The sequence below is a fragment of the Homo sapiens genome, chromosome 20, assembly GCF_000001405.40.
Source record: "Homo sapiens chromosome 20, GRCh38.p14 Primary Assembly".
NCBI classification, from domain to species: domain Eukaryota; kingdom Metazoa; phylum Chordata; class Mammalia; order Primates; family Hominidae; genus Homo; species Homo sapiens.
Window position 1 is genome coordinate 63538466 of NC_000020.11, and position 19109 is coordinate 63557574.

Consider the following 19109-nt stretch of genomic DNA (forward strand, 5'->3'; position numbering starts at 1 on the left):
GGTGGTAAGGAAAGTCCCTAAACTGCGTATTTCAACTTTTATTTTTATTGCAAAGAGAAATAATGGCACCTTCCACTCATTGTTTTGAGATTAAGAACAATAATCTGGATTATTTAACAGGCTCATAGATTTCTGGGCAGCCCAGCTCAGCGCTGACCAAGGTGGGGAGGGGCAGCGGGGTGCCGGCCTGGGCAGTGTCCCTCAGGCCCTCCCAGCTCTGTCTGGGGTCGGTTGGGGAGGATGCAGGGGGAGGGGTGGGGGGTGGGGAATGCGGAAGGAGGGTGCCGGGGCACCTGGCCGGGCAGCGTCCCTCAGAGCCCGGCCAGACTCTGGGCCCGTGAGTCTATGTCCAGGAAGCCTCGAGTATCCCTGAGTTCGGACGTGCAGGACTTTCAGTCTAAGCCACACCAGGAGGCAGGAACGTCCCCAGCCCCTCCCAGATACCCAGGAGCACCAAACCTGTTCAGCTGGTGGCTGGCGAGATGCCTAGGAGGGCACAGGTGCCACAGACACACCTGGTCCCCTTAATCCCAGTGGCGGCTGCAGAGAGCACAGAGGGCGAGGCCTTCTGTGCCAGAGGAGCCCCCAGGCTGCTGTGCTGGGGACCTGCCAGAACTGGAAGCTCAGCTCAAGGCCTCAGTGGGCCCAGGTACCAGAACCAGCCCCTCCCCTAGGTTCTCCCATGCAGATGGAGCTGGGCAGGTGGCCAGGGTCCCAAAGGCTCAGATAAAGCCTCTTGCCTCCACCATCTGCAGGGGTCCTGGTTCCTGCTGCTTCCCTCCGCTTGGCCTTGTTCCTCCGATGCACGGGCCCCAGGAAGCCCCCGCGCTGCCTCCGTTCTCGGAGCCTCCGAGTGGCCTCTTCCTTCCCCGGGGCCACCTGTCTCTGCACACGGGAGTCTCATCTCTTAGCTCCCTCCTGAGCCAGGCTTTGGCCGGGGCCTGTGGACGGCAGCCATCAGCACTTCGGCTCAGCAGGTACAGAGCTGACCCCAACTCTAGGGGACAAGGACTCAGTCAGGCCTGAACTTGTCTCCAAACTTTCTGTCCCCGAAAGCCTTCTGGGCACAGCTGCCAACCTGGGCTCCCAGGAGGGTGGGGGGCAGGGTCTCCGGGGGCCACAAACAGACCCCACCGGCCCCCTTGCTTCTTGACGTGTTTCACGAAGACCTGAGCAGAAGCTTCCCTGAGCCAGACGTGGGGAGACGAGGGCGGACCCTGCACATCCCTGCCCCCTCCTGCCTTGGTGACCCCCGAGGACTCACACCCAGAGGCTTCCTGAGCCACTTGCTGCCCAGCATACCATGGCATCTACCTCCGAGCCCCCAACCGACCCTGCCTGACCCTGCACAGGCAGAAGACTCCAAATCCCCCACGGCCCACCCTGAGGCCCCTGGAAATAGCCTCCAAGGGCAGCTCCCAGGTCACCAAGCCTCCCGGCCCACCCTTCCTGTGCCACCTGGAACCCACCCAGGGAGATGGAATCGGCAGCTCCTGCCAATGCCCTTGGGGCTCACGCTCTCTGGGCACCATGATGTCCTGGGCTGGGGGTCCGGGCGGCATGGGGGCCGCTCCAACCTGCATTTTCTAGCCACGTGGACCCGTACGCTCCAGCTCCTGGGTCTGGGTTTGGGGGGCTGAGCCTGTGTGTGATGTGCGCCTGTGTGCGTGTCTGAGTGGGTCAGTCCCGGCTTACTGAGTGCTGTGTGCGTGAGTGGGTTTGTGCACAGGCCGCCAGTGTGTCTGTGAGGGGCAGGTGACGGTGCCACCCCGTGCCTACATACCACACATCCAGTGGGGTCAACACCACGGTCTGCCTGGGAGTCAGCACTGGTCATTTCCACAAACCCAAGCTGGGACTAGGGAGAGAACTGGGCCTTTGGCTCTTCACCCTGGGAGGGAGTCCAGGGGACCCAGGCAGGAGACACACAGGGCTCAGGGTTCCTCACCCAGAGCCTCCGAGGCTTCTACCCACCCTCCTGTGCCGTTGTCTCTCTTGAGAGGCCAGGGACACGTGTCACACTGCACGGGGAACGTCAGCCCCAGCCCTCCGTCTGCACGAGTCACACTGCACGGGGAACGTCAGCCCCAGCCCTTCGTCTGCACGAGTCACACTGCATGGGGGACGTCAGCCCCAGCCCTCCGTCTGCACGAGTCACACTGCACGGGGGACGTCAGCCCCAGCCCTCCGTCTGCACGTCTGCCTGGTGCACGAACATGTGTGCACGCCAGGGCCTGAGGCCCACAGCCAGAGGCTCCTCGGTCCGGCAGACCGGCATCCCTTCGAGTTGGCGCTCTGCAGGGAGGAGGGGCTGGCCTGGCTGGAGCCCAGAGCGTTGGGTCACGTGAGGACTCAGGGGTGGCATCTGTGGATGGCGTGCAGCTTCTCCCGCAGCGTGGCGAAGGAGGGCCGTTCCTCGGGGCTGCTCCTCCAGCACTCCAGCATGAGCACGTAGACCTCCGCCGGGCAGGCAGCCGGGCGCGGCAGCCGGTACCCTCGCATGATCTGCTGCAGCGTCTCGTGGTTGGTCATCCCTGGGAGGCGCGGGGCAAGAGCTGCCTCGATTCTGCCTGGGGGTCCCTATGGAGGAGGCCTCCTGTAGCCCCCCATGTCATCTGCCTGCCCTTGGCCAGACCCTCCAACCCCTTGCCGACAGCGTCCAGGCCCGGGGCCAGTGACTCCTGGGCAGAGCCTGCATCCTCCCTCTGGCTGCCTGGGGACCCACCTTCATAGGGACACTGGCCATAGGTGAAAACCTCGTGCAGCAGGACGCCGAAGGACCAGACGTCTGACTTCTGGGAGAAGACACGATAATTGGCCGCCTCAGGCGCTGTCCACTTGACCGGGATCTTGGAGCTGCTGCTCGGGGAGTAGATGTCGTCCTGGGGGCGAGGGAAGGCCCCTGGTAGGGCAGGTGGACCGGGGTCCCCTCACCCACCCCCTCTGGGTCAGGGGCCCAGAGCCTCCGCTGACCTTGAGCAGCCGGGCCAGGCCGAAGTCAGCCACCTTGCAGGCCAGGCCGTCGTCCACGAGCACGTTCCGGGCGGCCAAGTCCCGGTGCACAACGCGCTGCTCCTCCAGGTAGCTCATGCCCTCAGCCACCTGGCAGGCAAAGCCCAGGAGTGGCGGCAGACGCAGGGCCCGGCCCTCGGGGGCTGCAGGAGACAGCGCGGGGTCTTTTAGGGCACGGGGCCAACGGCCGGTGAGGCCAGCGTCCACCCACGTCACCTTCCCCCATGCCTCAGCCTCCTCATCTCTAAGACGTGGCGAGGATGGCATGGCCGGCTAAGGCCACGGGAAGCCCCAAGTGAGACAGGGCGAGGGTCCTGTACTCACCACAGTGACCCGGCAGCCGGCCCAGGCCCCCGACAAAGACCAGGGCAGAGAAGAGCCAGAGGCTGGGCTGGGTCTATGTCACATTAGACCAAGGCTGGTGACCCAGATGGGACCGCGCCCCCCACCGCCCCCGAACACCAGCTCCAGCCCCGGAGCCACAAGGCTCTGGCCTGGCCCAGACCTGACGCCAGCCCCCTGTTGGCTGGAGACCAGACAGGGATGGGATCTGCAGCCGGGGCCACCTGCTCCCGGTAGAGAGGCCCGGTTCACCTCGGAAACCCCGCAGGTTCAGCTCTGCGCCAGGAGGGAAGGGGCGGTCGCAGGCGCGTCAGGGCCACGTGGCAGCAGGGAGGGGACTCACTGCCCAGGAAGGCCTGCAGGTTCCCCTTGCGCATGAGTTCCGTGACGATGTACACAGGCTCCCCGCCCGAGCACACTGCGTGCAGCCGGATGAGCCGCTCGTGCCGCAGGCCCTTCAGTGTCTGGATCTCCTTGGCGAGGTCAGTGAGCTTCATGTTGGCTGCGAGAGAGGGTGTGGCTCCAGGACCGGCCCACGCCACGAACATCACTGCCCTGGGGCTTGAGGGTTGGACAGCAGGTGCGGGGCCCGGCCGTGGCGCAGGATCTCGGGGCCTCACCTGACTTGATGACCTTGATCGCCACGGGCAGGGAGCCCAGCCACAGGCCTTCCCACACCTCCCCAAAGTAGCCTTCACCCAGCTTCCTCCCAAGGGCGAATTCGGAGTGTGGCCGCTCCCACACGTCCTGCCTCGGGGCCTTCTGCAGGGAGGGTGGGCAGGGAGGCTGGTCAGCGTGGGCCCCTGTGCTCTGTCCCAGGCACAGCCCCCCACACCAGGCCTCTGGCGGGCACCCCTGTCCCCAGCACACACTCACCCCACCCTGGCTGGGACAAAGGGGAGTGGGTGCCAGGCTTGGAGGCCCGGCCCAGCCCCGTGGGAGCTCATTGCTCTGGGGGCCTAAGTGGCACCTTTGCCCCAGCCGGATATCCGTCTACACATGCTCATTACTGCCCCTGGCCGCGCTGTCATTATGAGACCAGAGAAACCAGACTGCTGCCCTGGCCCTCGGCAGGGTGGCTCACATCGGGGACAGTCCCCGGGATCCAGTGTCTCCAGCCCAGGTGCAGCATCTTGTGATCTGCCTCTCCTCCCACACCTTCCGCCCTTGGGGCCTGGGGCAGCCTTGAGTGCCTTCCCCAAACTGGCCCCACCCTCCTGGCTGCTCCCCTGCAGAGCTGGGCACTGCTACAGGTCTCCTTTCCCCACTCCCAGCCCCCTAGGACCCCAGGAATCCCAACAACCCTCAGAGGCACCCGCAGAGAGCAGAATGTGCTGGAACCGCTGGGATGCTCCGATGCTCCCAGGCCTGGGCAGGGCCCTGGAGCTGCGCCTCTGACAGCCCCAGGGGTTTTGTGACGGGGTGGGGAGGAGCACCTAGAACAGGGCCATGCCTCGGGCCCAGCATGGGGCAGCTTGGCAGGCACAGGCCCACCTGGGGCATGCAGGGCTGCAGCAGGGGGTTCTGGATCAGCTTCCAGTTGGCCTTGTAGTAGGTGAGCAGCTCCTCCAGGCCGGGAAAGAGCCGTCCCTTCTGCAGGTAGAGGCTGCCATCAGCTGCCATGGAGACCCGGTAGTGGCAGACCTTGGCCTGGGCCCGGACTAGGAAGGGTTCAGAGATGGAGACCCCTGCCTTGGCTGCCAGCTGCCCCGACCCTCCCACCCCAGAGGATGCTGGCCACAACCCACTAAGGGGTCTGGCTCAGACCTAGCTGGGGACCCTGAGATGGTCAGAGCTGTGTGGAGGAGGGAGTGTGGGCAGCCACAGGCTGGGGCGGGGCAGCGAGAGCGGCCCAGGTTGGAGCTTTTCTGCTGACGGTGTGCACAGAGTAGGCACTTAATAAATACTTGTAGAATGAATGAGTCCATGAGTCAGTGAATGAATGAAGGAATAAGGAAGGAAAGAAGGAAAAGTGAATGAATGAATGAACGAATAAGCAAATGAGTGAAAGAATAAGCTAGTGAACAAATCAGTGAATAAATGAGTGAATTAGTGAGTGACGAATGAACGAGTGAATGAGTGGATGAATGGATGAATGAATGAGTGAATTAGTGAGTGAGGAATGAACGAGTGAATGAGATGAATGGATGAATGAATGAATGAGTGAATTAGTGAGGAATGAATGAACAAGTGAATGAGTGACTGAATGAATGAGTGGGTGAATGACTGAATGAATGAATAAATGGGTGAGTTAGCAAGTGCAGGAGGTGACCAGCATATCTGCTGTTGGGCCCTCAGTGGCGCCGGGTGTGAATCAGGAGCCAGCACTGCCTAGAGACCAACCACCCCAAGGTCAAGGGCCACTGACCTGGTGGGGGACAGAGGCAGGAGGGGCCGCCCCAGGTACCTGACAGTGAGTAGCCCCCGAGGCTGCTCTCGCTGGGCCGGATGAGGAAGGCCCCTGGTTCGTTGGGTGGGGAGAGGAGCAGCTGCTGTGCCTGGGTCCGACTGACCCCGCTAAAGTACCAGCTGCAAACAGCAGGTGCGGCAGTCACCTTGCAGGCCCCTCAGCCAGTGGCCCCACATGCTCTCCTCCGTGTTGCCGGCAGGGCTGAGCCCGGCTGTCCCACCGCCTCAGGGAGAAGGTCCACCCCGTGGACTTTGAGTCCCAGCTCAAGGTCTGCACTGCCTCAGCCCCCAGTGCCGGCCTCATCCTCCTGCTCAGCCCTGAGCATCCTCACGTTGGCCGTGGGCTCTCCGTTAGCCCTGCTGGGCGTGACCTCCAGTTCCCTGTTCATAGTGACCGCCAGCCCCAGCCACAGGTTAACAGTCAGCCCTGGCCATGGGCCATAGGCCTCCAAACTCGGCTTCGCTGAGCCCCTGCACAGACATGGAGCTGACGGCCTGGTGAGCTGCCCGGAAGCACTGCTGGGCTGTCGTGGCTGTACAGGGCCATGGGCATCACCTGGCTGGGCACGGCCCACCTGCCTCAGGCAGTTGGTTAGTGGAGGGGGCCCATGCAAGCTGTGTCCTGAGGAGGCAGCCTAAGCCAGGCTGTGCAGGAGGTCAGGAGGGGCAGCCAGTGGGCGGCTGCAGGGGGGTTGCTGTGCGAACGTTCAAAGCATCCTGCATCCCATGCTGGAGAGTTGTGCCCAGTACAGGACGGCCCTAAGCCCACTGGCGTCTGTTCGCACAGACACCCCCTCGGAAAAGCCAGGTGCAGGTGAGACCTCTCTGAACACGGTGGCAGGGTGGCAGGGAGCTCCCAGGTGCCCACTCCTCAGATGCCCACACACGAGGAGCCCACACCGGGTGTCGGGAGAGGGGCCGGCTGGGTCTCCCCTGTCCAGGTGGGCCGCCCACCAGGTCACATCTACTCATTCCTGGGAGCCGGAGGCATCCTTGGAAGGAAGACAGAAATGCTCCCAGCCCCACCCCGTCTGCATAACTCTGCTGCTGAAGTCCAAGGCGGGGACTCCACACCTGACTCAGCTTCCCACCCTGGAGCCTCCCACTTCCTGGAGCTTCCTGGGACCCGGAGAGGGATGCCTGCCACTCCCCTGCCCCAGGGCACACCCCGTAAGCACCAGGAGGAAGAAGCAGAGTGAGCCGGTGTCAGGGTGGGGCTGAAACCACCTGGGAAGCGGGACTAGGAGAGGACCCGAGGTGGGCCTCAGAGTCAACACAAGATTCGGGGCTGGGGCACGGCCATGCCATCCTGGCAGACTGGGACTGGGCAAGACGGAGGACACAGTCTGGCACCCCTGCCCCGGTGACCTAGGGGGCAATGGGGGCAGCAGGAATAGAAACTGACATGACCAGGGCCGTGGGGCTGGGCTTAAGTTGAAGGGAATGAAGATGGAGACAGGAAGAGGTGTGGGACCAGGGACAGAGAGGCAGCGGCCTGAGGCACTGACTCCATGGACGCTCTGTCCATGGAGCTCCTCCTGCAGCCAGGGCCCCTGCCTTCTGGGGTCTGCTGGCAGGGAGACGCAACCCTCTCACGTGTAAAGGGACTCAGGTCCCTCCCAGCACCGTGGGGTGTGGGGATGAGACACAGGTGTTTCCCCAAAACATCGCCAGCCTCCTCTGAAGCCCACATCAGGGCTTGGGGGTCAGAGGTGAGCCCCTGTGGGATCCTGAGATGCAGAGGATGTGTCTGAGGTCTCTCCCTGGGGCGTGGGGCCAGGTGTCTGGAGCTAATGACACCTGAGTGTGGTTAGTCTTTTAATCTCCAGCCTAGGCAAATAGTCATTAGCTTTGCCTATGGACCGCCCTGCTCCACCACGAGCCCTGCCCTCCAGGAACTGCTGAAGGGGTCTGTCCTCCACACCTGGGGTGACTGTGAGCCCCTTCCCATCACAAAGGCTGCTTGCCCCCCAACCACTGCTCAGGACAAGCGGGGCAGGTGTGGGGTGAGGGCCTGGGGCCCCTCAGAAGGCCCCTTCCTGTGACTCCGGCTTCACCCGCCCATGCAACCCCCAGGACGATGTGTGAGTGCCAAAGGGCCCCCAGGAGGCTGGAAGTGGCCCTGAGCAAGGCTGACCCCGAAGGTCTCCAGGGCTCAGGCCTTGCCCAGCTGGATGCCAGACCAAGGCAGCCGCTCAGAGCAGCCGCACTGGGCATCTGGACTAGGCGCCTCTGCAACCCCTGCTCACCTGCCCTCACCCAGAGCTCCTGGAGCGTGGGCCCCTGTCTCAGCCCCCAGTCCCAGCCCCTGCTCACCTGCCTTCACCCAGAGCTCCTGGAGCGTGGGCCCGTCTCAGCCCCCAGCCCCTGCTCACCTGCCCTCACCCAGAGTTCCTGGAGCATGGGCCCCTGTCTCAGCCCCCAGCCCCCAGCCCCTGCTCACCTGCCGTCACCCAGAGCTCCTGGAGCTCCTGTCATCTGGTGCCTCCCAGCCCCCAGCCCCTGCCCTCCAAGCAGTGACCGATCCATGAACACTGGACTCCCTGTGTGAGGGCGGGAGGGCCTGGCCAGCCAGGCAGGGTCCTGGAGGAACCGCCTGCTGGGTGTCCAGCTGGTGCAGCTGATGCTCCCCCCCACAGGACCTGACCACGCCTGCCGGAGCCTCCTCTCCCTCTCGGCAGCCCACAGCGGACACTGCTGTTTTCCTACCACACCTGCCGGCCCGGGGCCCATCAGCTGTCCCTGAATGAATGCGTGGATGAACGAATGAATGAACAGATAGCCACGGACATGCGATTTCCAACTCAAAATCCTGCCGTTGTTCTGGACTCCCCAGCTGGGGGCGAGGCAGGCTCTGACTCCGAGGCCGAGGTACTCACGGTTGGTCTGAGAGCGTCTCAGGAGAAGCCTTGGCCACGTGGGTGATGGGCACGAGCCCGGCGCTGGGCTGGCCCGAAAGCCTGCGTGCGAAGATGTAGCCGCCCCCCTCTTCGAGGGCACAGAGCCTGTCCCCGCGGCGGACACTCAGCTCCCCGCCACACCGCGCCGTGAAGTCATAGAGCGCAAGGAAGAGCTGAGGGAAGGGGCTGCAAGGCTCGGCGGGGAGCGTGGGCACTGGGTCAGTGTTGGGGTCCAGGGACCCGGGGGTGCCATGGTCCGGCTCGCCGCCCGCCGGCCAGATCTTGTCCCAGAAGAAGGACAGGAAGGCCAGCCGCCTCCTGAGGAACGGCTCCATCCCCCGGGGTCACCACGCTGGGCCCGAGGGCCATGGGAGCCCGCGAGCCCGGAAGAGGAACTGGCAGGGCCGGTGGGACCCGGTGTCCAGCGCTCCCTGCCCTGGCCGTGGGGTGACAGGGGACCCCGGCCCTGCGGTCACTCAGAGGTCCCCTGGATCCAGGAGGCACACGGTTCCCACCGGCGTCCGGGCTGGCGTTGGGGCTGGGTGGGGCGCAGGGCGGACCCCCTGCCTCAGGCACACCGACAGCACCTCCTGTCCTCGACCTCCTTGGCGTCTGGAGTGCACCGTCCCCTCCCCAACCCGACGGCAGAGGGCAGCTTGGGCTGGGGCGGGGGCGGGCTCCAGGAGGGGCCCGAGGAGGGCGGGGTGGGCAGGGCCAGCCTCTCTCCCGCCCTCTGCAAGGCCCAGGCAGGCGGAATGGCTCTGCCCAGTCAGGCCTGGCCCATGCCCAAGGGCACCACAGTCCAACAGCCGCCCGTGCCCACGGAGAAGTGGGGGTTCCACGGAGAAGCGCTGCTGTTCAGCACCTGCAGTGGTTGCCAAGCCTGAGCTGCACTCAGGTGAAAAATTGCCTGCTTATTTAAGTGTTGGCCAGATATTTTAACATCATTAACCCTGCACCAGGTGCCGAGCCTCCGGCCTCTGCAGTAAATTCTGAGGACAGGCGAGTGAGGGGGCTCTCAGCACCCCGGCTTTCATGCAGTAAAACGAGATGCTGATTGCAGGGAGCTCGGCCGCAGGCCAGGCACCCAGATGCCCCATGCTGCCCGATGACCGGCTTCTGAGTCAGTCAATGCCCAGGCCATACCCAAAGGCCACTGCGGGGAAGTGGAGGCTGCGGACGCCTGGCCCCAGTTCAGGGGGATGAGCACACGGAGAAGGGGCGGCGGGTGAGTCCCTGGCTGGGGACCTCCCACCCTCTCCCTGGACAGCGCCAAGCCCCCGCATGCTGAAGCAAACTCTGCCCGCTCAGGTAGGTCCCCAGATCGGGGCAGGACTGGGGGAGCAAATCCCAGCAAAACCCAGCAGCACGGTACAGGGTCCTGAGGCAGGAGGATGGGGTGGTGGCCATCTGCAGTCTCTCTCTCCTCCCACATCCCCTCCGGGTCCTGAGTGGGGTGGGGTGGGGGCCATCTGCAGTCTCTCACTCCTCCCACCTCCCCTCTGGGTCCTGAGGCACGGGGGTGGGGTGAGGCCATCTGCAGTCTCTCACTCCTCCTGCCGGCCTCCCCCAGCAGCCCCTTCCGCACCTGGGTGGCCTTCAGGGAGCCTCACGCCCCTTTCCCACATCTCACACGCATCCATGCCCCCACTTCATGCGTGTGGCTGAATGCATCCCTCCAATAGGCGTGACCAGTGTCCAGCCAATGACAAGCCCCTCGCACCTGCCTGCCCTGGAGTCACAGATGGGCTTCTCAGAAACCTCACGTCTGGGGACTGGTGTGTGCATTGTGGGGTGGCAGTGACACCCGTGGCCTGGCTCTCAGGGCACCCCAGCAGCCAAGCTGTGTCCGGGCTGATAGCCTGGAGCCAGCAGGGGCCCTGGGAGACTGGACATCGCCAGGCTCAGGGCAGGCTCTGCACCAGAGAGGTGCCCTGCTGGGGGTGGTGGGGGGTGTTGAGAAATGTGGAGAATTGTAAATACTACATTGGGGGTGGCCTTCGAGGGGCCCCAGCGCCTTCTCCTCCCGCGCTTCCCCCCGCCGCCCTCTCCTCCCGCCCCCGCCGCCCTCTCCTCCCCCCACCCGCTGCCCGTCTCCTCCCGCCCCCGACGCCGTCTCCTCCCCACAACCCACCCCCGCCGTCTCCTCCCCTCCACTCCCCCCGCCGCCGTCTCCTCCCCACACCCACCGCCGTCTCCTCACGTGCAGGTGAGGCTTTTGCCCACCATTTCTTTTCTTTACTTTTTTTTTGGAAACAGGGTCTCACTCTGTCGCCCAGGCTGGAGTGCAGTGGCAGCCTCGATCTCCTGGGCTCAAGCCGTCCTCCTGCCGGACTACAGGTGTGCGCCACCATGCCCAGATAAATTTTTTATTATTTGTAGAGATGGGCTCTCACTATGTTGCCCAGGCCGGTTTTGAACTCTTGGCCTCAAGCGATCCTCCTGCCTCCCAAAGTGCTGGGACTACAGGTGTGGCTACCAGCTCTCCCAAATCCTCCCTAGGACGTGACTCTTCCCCGCTAGAACGCCAAGGCCGCAGAGCCCCAGGGAGGCCTCCTCAGGCCATGGAAAGCTCCTGTGCCCACCACACCAGGGTCAGATGTTCAGGGCACTGAATGCAGATTCCTCCCAGACACTCCCTGCCCCTTAGAGCCACGGGATCATGGCACAGGACTCAGCACATTCCATGCCCAGCTGGAACCAGAGGCAGGCCTGGCCATCAGGGTTAGGGCCCCATTGGGCCTCTGCCCCGGCGTGTCTCACCCCCACCGCCCCACCTGCCCACAGATCAGCTCCCCACGTCTGCCCCATCTTCCCCCTCCTTGCACCTGCTGCCCTTGCACCGCACACATGCCAGGGTGAGTGTGGTCGGCAGGCAGCCGAGGCCGGCTTTATCCAGCTCCTCCCCGGTGGTCCTCAGAATCCCCGGCCCCGCATGCCCAGCTGCCCTGTCCCGCTGCCCTCCAAGTTGTGCCCGCCCGTCCACCCCTTCCTCACCTCACCCACCAGGCGCAACACAGCCCAGCATAGGGCCCCTGCCAGGTGTCGGTGTCAGCAGCCCCTTCCCTGCCTGCTGTGCCCCCCCCACATGACCTCACCTCCTCCCTCAGCCCTAACCGGGTGGGTGGCACAGAGGGGAGTGAGGAAAGGGGCCTGGGTACAGGATCAGTCTGGACGGGGTCAGGAGTCTGGGGCTTGGCCGGGTGAGGCGGCTCACTCCTGTAATACCAGCATCTGGGGAGGCCAAGCAGGAGGATCGCTTAAGCCCAAGGGTTCAAGACCAGCCTGGGCAACATAGTGAGACCCCCATCTCTATTTTTTTAAAAAAAGAAAAGGCTAGGCACGGTGGCTGACACCAGTAATCCCAGCACTTTGGGAGGCCAAGGCGGGTGCATCACCTGAGGTCAGGAGTTCAAGACCAGCCTGGGCAACATGGTGAAACCCCGTCTCCACTAAAATACAAAAGTTAGTCAGGCATGATGGCGGGCACCTGTAATCCCAGCTACTCGGGAGGCTGAGACGGGAGAATCACTTGAATCTGGGAGACAGTGGTTGCAGTGAGCTGAGATCGTCGCGCCACCGTACTCCAGCCTGGGCGGCTGAGCAAGACTCCATCTCAAAAAAATAAAAATGACCAGGGCTGGAATCCTGCTGTCAGACTCACTGTCCACATGACCTTGGGCATACAGTGCTGAACCTCCCTGTGCCTCAGTTTCCCCATCTGTAAGAGCACTGAGCTTACAATGGCAGTGAGGACACAGACCAGGGGGATGGGGTGCAGGGCCCTTCCTGGTGTTCAGATGGAGGCTTGTGGCAGGAGCTCTGCCACATCAGGCCACCCCCCATCCGGGTTTATGTGTCTGGAGGGCACAGCTCTGAGGGTCTCAGTGGTCAGCGTGCATTCTCTCCCCCAAGACTGGCCCCACTACCCCCAGGCTTCACCATCCTCAGGGCCCAGGGAAGAGAGCTTGTCCCCACCAGGGACAACAGATCCAAAGTGTTCACTGCCCGTGCCCTGGTGGCCACAAACAGGGTTGAGCAAGACTGAGCACAAACTGGCCCCTGGTGCCCAGCAGTGAACAGGAGTGACTGTTGACCCTGCACAGAGGGGACTATGCTGAGCGCAAGAAGCCAGTCCCAAGGCTGCATACTGAAAGCCTGCACTGATAGGACATTCTTGAAATGACCAGACAGAGCCGGAGAGATGAGTGGTTGCAGGGCTAGGGAGAGGTGGGAGGGAGCAGCGTGGCTGTAAAGAACATGTCAGGGTCCCGTGGGGGTGGCACTGCCTTGCGTCTGTATCGACGTCAAGGTCCTGGCGTGATTCTGCACTGCAGTCCTGCAAGATGCTACCACTGGGGATGCTGGATAGAGGGTAACGGGACCTCTGTGTTACTTCTTACAACTGCAGATGAATCTATACTTATCTTAAAAGTAAAAGTTTAACTTTATTATTATTATTATTATTTTCGAGACAGGCCTCTGTCTTATTGCACCCAGGCTGGAGTGCAGTGGCACAATCTCGGCTCACTGCAACCTCCACCTCCTGGGTTCAAGCGATTCTCCTGCCTCAGCCTCCTGAGTAGCTGGGACTACAGGCGCCCACCACCACGTCCAGCTAATTTTTTTTTTTTTTTTGAGACAGAGTCTCGCTCTGTCGCCCAGGCTGGAGTGCAGTGGCGTGATCTCGGCTCACTGCAAGCTCCACCTTCCAGGTTCACGCCATTCTCCTGCCTCAGTCTCCCGAGTAGCTGGGACTACAGGCGCCTGCCACCACTCCCAGCTAGTGTTTTGTATTTTTAGTAGAGACGGGGTTTCACCATGGTCTCGATCACGTCCAGCTAATTTTTGTATTGTTAGTAGAGACTGGGTCTTACTATGTTGGCCAGGCTGGTCTTGAACTCCTGACCTCAGGTGATCTGCTTGCCTCAGCCTCCCGAAGTGCTGGGATTATAGGCGTGAGCCACTGCGCCCAGCCATTATTATTCTTTTTAGAGACACAGGGTCTCCCTCTGTCACCCAGGCTGGAGTGCAGTGGCACCATCTTGGCTCACTGCAGCCTCATCCTCCCAGGCTCAGGTGATCCTCCGGCCTCAGCTTTCCAAGTAGCTGAGACCACAGGTGCACACCACCACACCCAGCTAATTTTTCAAATTATTTGTAGAGACAGGGGTCTCCCTGTGTTGCCGAGGCTGGTCTCAAACTTCTGGCCTCAAGGGATCCTCTCACCTTGGCCTCTCAAAGTGCTGAGGTTATGGGCCTGCGCCACCGAGCCTGGCCAAAAGTTTAACTTTAAAAAATTAGATTAGAAATCAGAAATTGAAAGAAAGGGGGTAGGGTGGAGCCCAGGAGAGGGGAGACATCCAGGACCTGCCTGGCCCCAAAAGAGAAGGGGAGGCTGCTCTGCCCCCACCCCGCTTCTCCGTCAGTGGGCTGCAGGGCCGGGGGTAAGGGGTCTAACTCCTACTGCTTCCCAACCCTCCGCGTCAGACAGCACCCCCTTCTCCAAACAACCCCGGCTTTGTCCCCTGGAGCCCTAAATAACAATAACAATAGCTGGCATTTATTGAGTTCCAGCCCAGGCAGGGAGGGCAGGGCAGAAACAGCACCCAACAGGACTGGGTGCAAGGCTCACACCTGTAATCCGGAAGGATCAGAAAGACCCAGGTGGGAGGATCACTTGAGCCCCGGGGGTGAAGACTGCCGCATGGGTGACAGAGCAAGACGCTATCTCAAAAAAAAAACCACCCACATCCACCCACTTCCTGCCAGGCCTAACCCCTGGGGCCTCCATGCACCAAGGGAAAGCTCTTCCAGGGTGGGGTCACCGGGAGGAGGGGGGAGGCTCAAGTTACAGAACAGCCTGGTAGGGGCTCAAAGACGCCCATCCTGGAAGAGGCCCCAGCACTGACCTCCGTGGGGGTGGAGATGAGGAGGATGGAAAGGGTGTCTTCCTCCAGCATCTTCCTGAAGGTGAAGGAGGGGCACCTTGGGGTGTCTAAGATTGTGACCCCAGGAGACCCCCAGCTAGCTGGGGTGTGCTGTGGGGGAACGGGGGGATCCCAGAGGCCCTGAGCCCAACTGAACAGATACAGACGGGACCAGATGGCCTCAGAGCTCCCCTGCGGGGCTCCCTGGAGCTATGGAGACCCCATTTATCCAGAGTCAGGTCGGTGCCTGAGCTTGGGCAGCCCCAGGTGGAAGGAGCCCATGGTGGGAGGAGCCTGTAGTGGGAGGAGCCTGTAGTGGGAGGAGCCTATGATGGGAGGGGCCGTGGTGGGGGGAGCCCGCGGTGGGAGGAGCCTGCGCTGGGAGGAGCCTGTGGTGGGAAGACCCTGTGGTGGGAGGGGCCGTAGTAGGGGAGCCCGCGGTGGGAGGAGCCTGCTCTGGGAGGAGCCTGTGGTGGGAGGGGCCGTGGTGGGGGGAGCCCGCGGTGGGAGGAGCCTATGATGGGAGGGGCCGTTGCGGGGGAGGGGGGAGCCCATGGTGGGAGGAGCCTGTGGTTGAGGAGCCTGCGGTGGGGGGAGCCTGCGGTGGGAGGAGCCTGTAATGGGTGGCATCTGTAATGGGCGGGGCCTTGCTGGGCAGAGCCCGCGGCGGGGGAAGCCGCCCCTCTCCTCTGTCCAGGCGCTGGGTGGTCCATCCGCCTGGTCACCGGCCACTGCCTCTCTCCCAAATTCCTCCGAGGGATTCCCGAGGAGTGCGCTCGGACTGGGGGGTTGAGCAGGAACTCCCTCCCAGTCACCCGAGGCTCCTGCGCCCCGCCCGAAGCCGGGGGTGCGTGGGGAGTGGTGCGCCCGCGGAAGGGCTCCGGGACGGGAACCCCCCTTGGAGCCTGGCTCTTGGACCAGCCACCCGCCGTGGCCCCTCAGTCGGGGACGCGGGCCCCCAGAAGTCTGGGGCTCTCCAGGAAGCGAAGCGGATGGAAGATTACTCGGCTCGGGGTCCCGGGTCCCCACCCCCGCCCCGCCCCCGGGCCGCAGCGTCACAAAGGCCGCTGGTCCCCAGGGCAACCCGCGGAGTGCGGAGGGAGGCTGGGCTCTGGGAAGTCCGCGCGCGGCTCCGCTTCAGAGGCAGGGCAAGTGGGCGCGGTCCTGGGGCGGCGGCGGGGGCCGGGAGAGGAGGGCTGGGGGTCTCGAGAAGGTAAGGGGCAGGCAGAGCGGCCGGGGAGGTGGGCCCGGGCCAGGGGAGCCAAGGGGAGTGTGGTGGAGGGGGTAGAGTGCGGGCACCTGGTGGTCTCAGGGAAGCGGGCCTGGGACCGGGGCGTGTAGGAAGCAGCGAGGGGCTCAGAACCACCTTTCCGGGTTCACGACCAGCCTCTCTGGGTGTTCCACCTGGGCAGCTGCTGGAGACTAGAAAACATCCCTCACACGTCACAGAGGCACGGTTTCCCTCCAGCGGTGAAATCCGCCCCAGCCTCCAGCAAGAGCAGGGCTTAGGCCTGGGGTCCTGGGGTCCTGCTCTCAGCTGGCACCTCACCCCAGACACACTCCCTGCTGCCCCCAGGGGCCTGTTCTCGAGGGATTCCCGAGGAGTGCGCTCGTGAAGTCATATCTGCCTCACGCCCAAAAGGGCAACCCTTCCCGGGCAGATATGACTTCACCACGTACCTGTGTGGCCCTGGGGAACTCAGCAACTGCTTAGCTCTCATTTGTGGGTCGTCCAAGGCCCAAGTGGCTGTGACAACCTGAGATCTCCAGGGTTGCTGGGAGCCGGGGCAGCAACCAGGGGTGCGGCTTGCTCTCCAGGGAGCTGCGGCAGAGCCTGGGGCCACAGCTGCACTCAGCCGGTGCACCCACGGACAGAGGGTCAGACTCGGCTCAGCACTGGGCTCAAGCCCTGGATGAGAACAAGAACCAAGCTTCTTAGCCTCAGGCTCCATCTGGGAAATGGAGTGTCACTTGTGGAGTCCATGAGCTCACCAGGGACAGGATCCCGGGTCCACAGCGAGGGCCCACAGCGTGGGAGGAGGGCTGCTCCTCCGGGCCCAGGCCTGGGCGCCCTCCTCCCATGCTGACCAGCCAGCTGGCCTCGTCTTTGGTGAGGCCTGTCTCTGTGCCCTACAACTGCGGTGAGGCGTGGAGCGTCCCCAGGGAGAACCGGAGCGGGAGGATGGCCCGCGAATGTCCCCGAGGGGGATCCTGTGCTGCTTAGGACCACGCCGTCCCCTCTCCACGGCCCCGAGGGGTGCCAGCAACCCCTTTCAGCAGCAGGGTTAGGAACTGGGGCCCTTGCAAGGCCACAGGTCAGGCGGTTCTGGCCAGAAGTCCGCAGTCCTAGTTCTTCCCTGTCCTGTCCCACAGGCCACTGGTTGTCAGTAGAGGTTTTTGCCCCTCAGTATAAACTGTGTCCAGATCTGTAGGCTGCCCATCCAGCCCTCCAGGCAGCCTCTTCCCATCGAGTTGTGCCCCCGAAGAAGGACAGAGGTCCAGCATGGGGTCAGTGGGCTGAATCCATCCCCCGAACATGCCACAGCCCAGGGGAGGCCAGCCTGCCTGGCAGCTGACACCCAGCCCTCCCCCCAGCTCCCGGATAATGAGCACCCATGTGGCAGGCCTGGGCCTGGACAAGATGAAGCTGGGCAATCCCCAGTCCTTCCTGGACCAGGAGGAGGCAGATGACCAGCAGCTGCTGGAACCAGAGGCGTGGAAGACCTACACCGAGCGCCGCAATGCCCTGCGTGAGTTCCTGACCTCGGACCTGAGTCCGCACCTGCTCAAGCGCCACCACGCCCGCATGCAGCTGCTGCGTAAGTGCTCCTACTACATCGAGGTCCTGCCCAAGCACCTGGCCCTGGGCGACCAGAACCCGCTGGTGCTGCCTAGCGCCTTGTTCCAGCTCATCGACCCCTGGAAGTTCCAGCGCATGAAGAAGGTGGGCACAGCTCAGACCAAGATCCAGCTCCTGCTGCTCGGGGACCTGTTGGAACAGCTCGACCATGGCCGTGCTGAGCTGGATGCCCTGCTCCGGTCGCCAGACCCACGGCCCTTCCTGGCCGACTGGGCGCTGGTGGAGCGGCGGCTGGCGGACGTGTCGGCCGTCATGGACAGCTTCCTGACCATGATGGTGCCGGGGCGGCTACACGTCAAGCACCGCCTGGTGTCTGATGTCAGTGCCACCAAGATCCCGCACATCTGGCTCATGCTGAGCACCAAGATGCCTGTCGTGTTTGACCGAAAGGCGTCGGCGGCTCACCAGGACTGGGCCCGGCTGCGCTGGTTCGTCACCATCCAGCCAGCCACATCGGAGCAGTATGAGTTGCGCTTCAGGCTGCTGGACCCGCGGACACAGCAGGAGTGCGCCCAGTGTGGCGTCATCCCCGTGGCTGCCTGCACCTTCGACGTCCGAAACCTGCTGCCCAACCGATCCTATAAGTTCACCATCAAGAGGGCCGAGACCTCCACGCTGGTGTACGAGCCCTGGAGGGACAGCCTCACCCTGCACACCAAGCCGGAGCCCCTGGAGGGGCCCGCCCTCAGCCACTCTGTCTGAGAGATGATTTTCTAATATTTATCCACTAATAAAGAAGAGTGTAAATGCACATATGGAATTAAAGAAGCAAACCTATTTATGTTTTAAAGGCAGCAGCCACCAGTGTTTTTCCTGGCTCAAAACATGCCAAGCCCCAGGCCTTCTGCTCCTGCTCTTTCCCAGGGGGAGCCACAGGCCGGACCTCCCAAGACAGCTGAGCCTGGAGCAAGAAGTACCAGCCCCTGACACCTACGGGTCCAACGACGACGACAAAAGCTGCTCCACGGGGCCTCTGCGGTCCTAGCCCCCGCCCCTCCTCACCACCCCCATCACCGTGACCGGGCTCCGGCCTTCCTTACCCACCTCCCTGGCTTGTGGGGCTCCCTCAGGGAATGACACTCCTAGGCCGTGATGCCTCCCACCATCCCCTGCCCAGCCTCGAGTGCTCATCAGCACGCCCGCCCGAGGAGGCAGCAGCACCACCGGGGATCCCTGGCTGTGAGCAGCTCAGCCGTGCCCCTCCATGCCCCGCCCCACCTTTTGTTCCTCAAGGGCCTTCCCGGCCCTGAGCTCCCTCTCTCCTCCAGGATCAGCTGCTTTTGCTAGGCGTCCAGCCCCTGCGTCCCCCCACCGCTCACCTTCAGGGCCGCAGCTGCCCCTTCCTCCCAGAAGCCTTCCCTGGCTGCAGGCTGGTGAGGTCCCCAAGTCCCCCTTCCTAGAGGCGCCTTCTCATCCTCTCTGCAGGCACTTCTCAAGCTATTGCAGAACTACTCTTATTTCATGACGGTCCAAGAATAGACATGGTCTTCAAGGCAGGGCCCGTCCAGCACACCAACGGGGCCACAGTCCTGGAGACTCCATGCTCCACCCCTCCCTCCACAGATGCCCAGAACCTCTTTTCCCACAGTGACCATAGCCCCCGCGACCATCTGACCCCCGAGCTGGCTCTGGGAGGCCACAGGAGCCCCTGTGGAC

At 63.2% G+C, this 19109-nt stretch overlaps 2 protein-coding genes across 9 annotated transcripts, besides 13 other annotated features; one reads left to right on the plus strand and one right to left on the minus strand.

Annotated features, from left to right (window-relative positions):
- SRMS (src-related kinase lacking C-terminal regulatory tyrosine and N-terminal myristylation sites) lies at window positions 24-9284 on the minus strand. Its single transcript, NM_080823.4, has 8 exons — window positions 8643-9284; window positions 5762-5883; window positions 4849-5015; window positions 3975-4116; window positions 3698-3856; window positions 2974-3155; window positions 2726-2882; window positions 24-2534 (listed from the first exon to the last, which is right to left on the minus strand). Exons 1-8 carry the CDS (start codon window positions 8996-8998, stop codon window positions 2353-2355), a joined length of 1467 nt encoding a protein of 488 aa, NP_543013.1. The 5' UTR covers window positions 8999-9284; the 3' UTR covers window positions 24-2352.
- Window positions 1518-1687: an enhancer, noted in NCBI's record as "experimental_61036 CRE fragment used in MPRA reporter constructs". NCBI's record gives its function as "activates a minimal promoter by MPRAs in K562 erythroleukemia cells, with activity observed for both the introgressed and non-introgressed 20:62171421 or rs310652 variant alleles {active_cell/tissue: K562}" and the evidence as "EXISTENCE:reporter gene assay evidence [ECO:0000049][PMID:34662402]".
- Window position 1603: a transcriptional cis regulatory region, noted in NCBI's record as "Neanderthal adaptively introgressed variant 20:62171421 (GRCh37/hg19 assembly coordinates) or rs310652 in the experimental_61036 CRE". NCBI's record gives its function as "modulates activity of the experimental_61036 enhancer by MPRAs in K562 erythroleukemia cells {active_cell/tissue: K562}" and the evidence as "EXISTENCE:reporter gene assay evidence [ECO:0000049][PMID:34662402]".
- Window positions 4184-4243: a silencer, noted in NCBI's record as "silent region_13160". NCBI's record gives its function as "represses an Ori minimal core promoter by ATAC-STARR-seq in GM12878 lymphoblastoid cells {active_cell/tissue: GM12878}" and the evidence as "EXISTENCE:reporter gene assay evidence [ECO:0000049][PMID:35858748]".
- Window positions 4534-4683: an enhancer, noted in NCBI's record as "active region_18227". NCBI's record gives its function as "activates an Ori minimal core promoter by ATAC-STARR-seq in GM12878 lymphoblastoid cells {active_cell/tissue: GM12878}" and the evidence as "EXISTENCE:reporter gene assay evidence [ECO:0000049][PMID:35858748]".
- Window positions 5631-6184: an enhancer, noted in NCBI's record as "H3K27ac-H3K4me1 hESC enhancer chr20:62175449-62176002 (GRCh37/hg19 assembly coordinates)". NCBI's record gives its function as "activates a minimal SCP1, AML or CMV promoter by ChIP-STARR-seq in primed H9 embryonic stem cells {active_cell/tissue: H9 hESC(primed)}" and the evidence as "EXISTENCE:reporter gene assay evidence [ECO:0000049][PMID:30033119]".
- Window positions 8357-8998: an enhancer, noted in NCBI's record as "H3K27ac-H3K4me1 hESC enhancer chr20:62178175-62178816 (GRCh37/hg19 assembly coordinates)". NCBI's record gives its function as "activates a minimal SCP1, AML or CMV promoter by ChIP-STARR-seq in primed H9 embryonic stem cells {active_cell/tissue: H9 hESC(primed)}" and the evidence as "EXISTENCE:reporter gene assay evidence [ECO:0000049][PMID:30033119]".
- Window positions 14506-14595: an enhancer, noted in NCBI's record as "active region_18228". NCBI's record gives its function as "activates an Ori minimal core promoter by ATAC-STARR-seq in GM12878 lymphoblastoid cells {active_cell/tissue: GM12878}" and the evidence as "EXISTENCE:reporter gene assay evidence [ECO:0000049][PMID:35858748]".
- Window positions 14555-18243, plus strand: FNDC11 (fibronectin type III domain containing 11). Of its 8 annotated transcripts, none has more exons than NM_024059.3 (2): window positions 14555-14636; window positions 17189-18243. In NM_024059.3, the coding sequence occupies exon 2, from the start codon at window positions 17199-17201 to the stop codon at window positions 18153-18155; it is 957 nt and encodes a 318-aa protein (NP_076964.1). In that variant the 5' UTR covers window positions 14555-14636; window positions 17189-17198; the 3' UTR covers window positions 18156-18243. The 8 variants fall into 8 exon arrangements, with proteins under 8 accessions (NP_076964.1, XP_047296424.1, XP_047296422.1 ...); XM_047440468.1 differs by having other exon boundaries at window positions 14578-14832; window positions 17189-18230; XM_047440466.1 differs by lacking the exon at window positions 14555-14636 and adding an exon at window positions 15211-15440 and having other exon boundaries at window positions 17189-18230.
- Window positions 14876-14935: a silencer, noted in NCBI's record as "silent region_13161". NCBI's record gives its function as "represses an Ori minimal core promoter by ATAC-STARR-seq in GM12878 lymphoblastoid cells {active_cell/tissue: GM12878}" and the evidence as "EXISTENCE:reporter gene assay evidence [ECO:0000049][PMID:35858748]".
- Window positions 14876-15265: a biological region, named in NCBI's record as "Sharpr-MPRA regulatory region 13995".
- Window positions 14891-15185: an enhancer, noted in NCBI's record as "tiled region #13995; HepG2 Activating DNase unmatched - State 4:PromP, and K562 Activating non-DNase unmatched - State 1:Tss". NCBI's record gives its function as "activates a minimal TATA promoter and a strong SV40 promoter by Sharpr-MPRA in HepG2 and K562 cells {active_cell/tissue: HepG2 | K562}" and the evidence as "EXISTENCE:reporter gene assay evidence [ECO:0000049][PMID:27701403]".
- Window positions 14956-15105: a silencer, noted in NCBI's record as "silent region_13162". NCBI's record gives its function as "represses an Ori minimal core promoter by ATAC-STARR-seq in GM12878 lymphoblastoid cells {active_cell/tissue: GM12878}" and the evidence as "EXISTENCE:reporter gene assay evidence [ECO:0000049][PMID:35858748]".
- Window positions 15126-15265: a silencer, noted in NCBI's record as "silent region_13163". NCBI's record gives its function as "represses an Ori minimal core promoter by ATAC-STARR-seq in GM12878 lymphoblastoid cells {active_cell/tissue: GM12878}" and the evidence as "EXISTENCE:reporter gene assay evidence [ECO:0000049][PMID:35858748]".
- Window positions 15536-15785: a silencer, noted in NCBI's record as "silent region_13164". NCBI's record gives its function as "represses an Ori minimal core promoter by ATAC-STARR-seq in GM12878 lymphoblastoid cells {active_cell/tissue: GM12878}" and the evidence as "EXISTENCE:reporter gene assay evidence [ECO:0000049][PMID:35858748]".
- Window positions 18244-19109: the final 866 nt, after the last annotated feature.